This window comes from Homo sapiens, chromosome 16 (assembly GCF_000001405.40).
Source record: "Homo sapiens chromosome 16, GRCh38.p14 Primary Assembly".
Classification (NCBI taxonomy): Eukaryota; Metazoa; Chordata; class Mammalia; order Primates; family Hominidae; genus Homo; species Homo sapiens.
In genome coordinates, this window is record NC_000016.10 from 65932102 (window position 1) to 65934678 (window position 2577).

General features: G+C 46.4%; 1 annotated feature.

Annotated features, from left to right (window-relative positions):
* Window positions 970-2169: an enhancer, noted in NCBI's record as "MED14-independent group 3 enhancer chr16:65966974-65968173 (GRCh37/hg19 assembly coordinates)". NCBI's record gives its function as "activates an origin of replication core promoter dependent on BRD2, BRD4, P300/CBP and CDK7 cofactors, and independent of MED14, by STARR-seq in HCT116 cells {active_cell/tissue: HCT116}" and the evidence as "EXISTENCE:reporter gene assay evidence [ECO:0000049][PMID:35650434]".

A 2577-nucleotide genomic window follows, 5' to 3' on the forward strand; every position in this document is an offset into this window, starting at 1 on the left:
ATTTATAAAGGGTTTGGTGGGGGAAGAATATTTTGTGACATGTGAAAATGATATGAAATTTAAATATTAGTGTCTGTGAATAAAGTGTTACTGGAACACACACACAAAGAAGTTTGGAAGTGAAAAGAAGTGGTAGGTTGAAAGAAAGTGGGATGAAAAAGGGTTGTAGTTGGTTTTTAGGCTGAAACTTAAACCAGCAGGAAAGAAAAGTTCTACTGAAAGGGAGATCCCACAAAAGGCAAAAGTCATTGAAAGAACAGCACAGGTGCTTTCAGCTCCAAATAGTGAAATGTCTCAGGAAAGGGGCTTTAACAATGCAGCCTTATTTTTACACACACCCTAAAAAGTGTCAGCCACATGTTTTAGGAAGCTGTGGAAGGGCTAGAACAACATATGTTTTTCATGCAGTCAGAATCCAACTGACGTCAGATGTACACGATTGGCATGGAAACCAGGAAGCTTGAGGGACTCAATTTTCAAAATTTGTTTTACAACTATATTTGCATTTTGTGTGGGTGTGGATGGTAATTGTGATGCTCAGGCCAGGGCAAAGACAAAAACATATTTCTTAATGAGTCTCCTAATGCTGTCCTCACTAGCTAATCAGTACTTGTGTTTTGGGACACCAAACATATTTACGCTAATAATTTTCCCGTCTAAATGTAACCTATAAATGTTGCTCTGTGACAGCTTTGCTGCAGAAAGGTCCATTTTCTGTGTGCAGGGGCATCAATAGAACGAACAGGCCTGTGATCCTACATATGCAGTGCCCTCCTTTCCCCTTCCCCAGGCTCTCCTAGTATCCCTGCTAAAGGATCCAATTCCAATTTCTGGGGCCAATAGCACTTTGCTTAAAGTGATGAATCACTCTCATTAAATTAGGGTTGGTCACCTTCGTGTGACTATTTTGCCCTGTGCCTATTGACCGTACATGTTATAGATTACTAATTTCAGCTAAAACACTCCTCAAGTGTCACAAATTCTGGCTCACTCTGCTAACACTGAGAGAAAGAATAGGAACCAATTGATGGGAAGCGTCTGGTTGTGGAGGATTTTCTACATTCAAGATGACCACAGAATGGGACCACTGAGCTTGAGAGAAAGTCATTCCTCCTTACTGGAATTTGTTTAGAGATTTGACAGTTTTCAGTTTGTCCATGCTGGCTTCCTCAGGAGGTATCTAGCATGCAGTATGTTTATTAAGAGTATTGTTCAGATCAAAGCCTGTGGAAGAGAAGGTGATATGGTTTGGCTCTGTGTCCCCACCCAAATCTCATCTTGTAGCTCCTATAATTACCAAGTGTTGTGGGAGAGACCCAGTGGAAGATAACTGAATCATGGGGATGGGTCTTTTCTGTGCTGTTCTCGTGATAGTGAATAAGTGTCACGAGGTCTGTTGGTTTTAAAAATGGGACTTTCCCTGCACAAGCTCTCTTCTCTTGTCTGCCGCCATGTGAGACGTGCCTTTCACCTTCCGCCATGATTGTGAGGCCTCCCCAGCCACGTGGAACTGTGAGTCCGATAAACCTTTCATTTGTAAATTGCCCAGTCTCAAGTATGTCTTTATCAGCAATGTGAAAATGGACTAATACAGAAGGGAGGGGAGGGTAGGGGAGAGACGGGGGAGTGGGGGAAAGAGGGGAGGGGAGGGGAGGGAAGGGAAGGGAAGGGAAGGGGAGGGGAGGGGAGGGGAGGGGAGGGAAGGGAAGGGGAGGGGAGGGAAGGGAAGGGAAGGGAGATTGGTTAACAAAAGGAGAAAATCAAACGTGATGCATACCCAATAGCTGACTCAGCTGACGCTATGGGGGGCTCCAGCATTAGAATGACCTTTCACCTTTGTCTCAAGTTGAGCCAAGAAACTTTATACTCCCATATCTACTATTCATTGGACAGGCCACCACAAGAAGGGATGTGATCTTAGGTGAGTGGTTTCTGACAGCATCCTTAAAGAGGTTGACAGACTTCAAGCTTCTCTGCCGACACTACCCTCTACAGCTGAGATCATCAGACCTTACTGAAGGGAGACTTCAGCAGCACATCACAGCATCCACCACAGTGCAGCAAGAAGTAAGCCTGTCTCCGCCAGTGTGGGAAACCAACATGCCCCTCACGCCCAACCAAGAGCAATCAACATGTATCCGGGCTGGAATCCGTGGATTCAGAGAAGGGGACTTGCCTTCTGAGAGCCCCCTCGTAATCCTTGTCTGGGTGGGCTAACTCCTACAATGGGGTGCTGGCCTCCAGTTCCCTGTCCCAGCTTTTTAGTTCTCTGCTGAGACTACAGTTGGTTCTGATATCTCCCTGATTCCAGAGGACCATAACCCCCGGTCAGCCTTATGAGTCCTTACTGAGGCATCCGCCCTGCTTCTACTCCACCACAAGTGGTTGAAGCATAGATCCCCACCCACTCCCAGCATCCAACTTCTCTACTGTGTTGTCCCTTGTCAGACAACAAGGCCTGCTTAGCTCTACACAGAGCTCACTTCATTAGGTTAACAAGGAGCCCCTGAGGCCTGGGGCAGTGGCACAGTCAGGCTCTTGGTCCTACCTTCTGTCCACCTCCCAGTGCCCACCTAG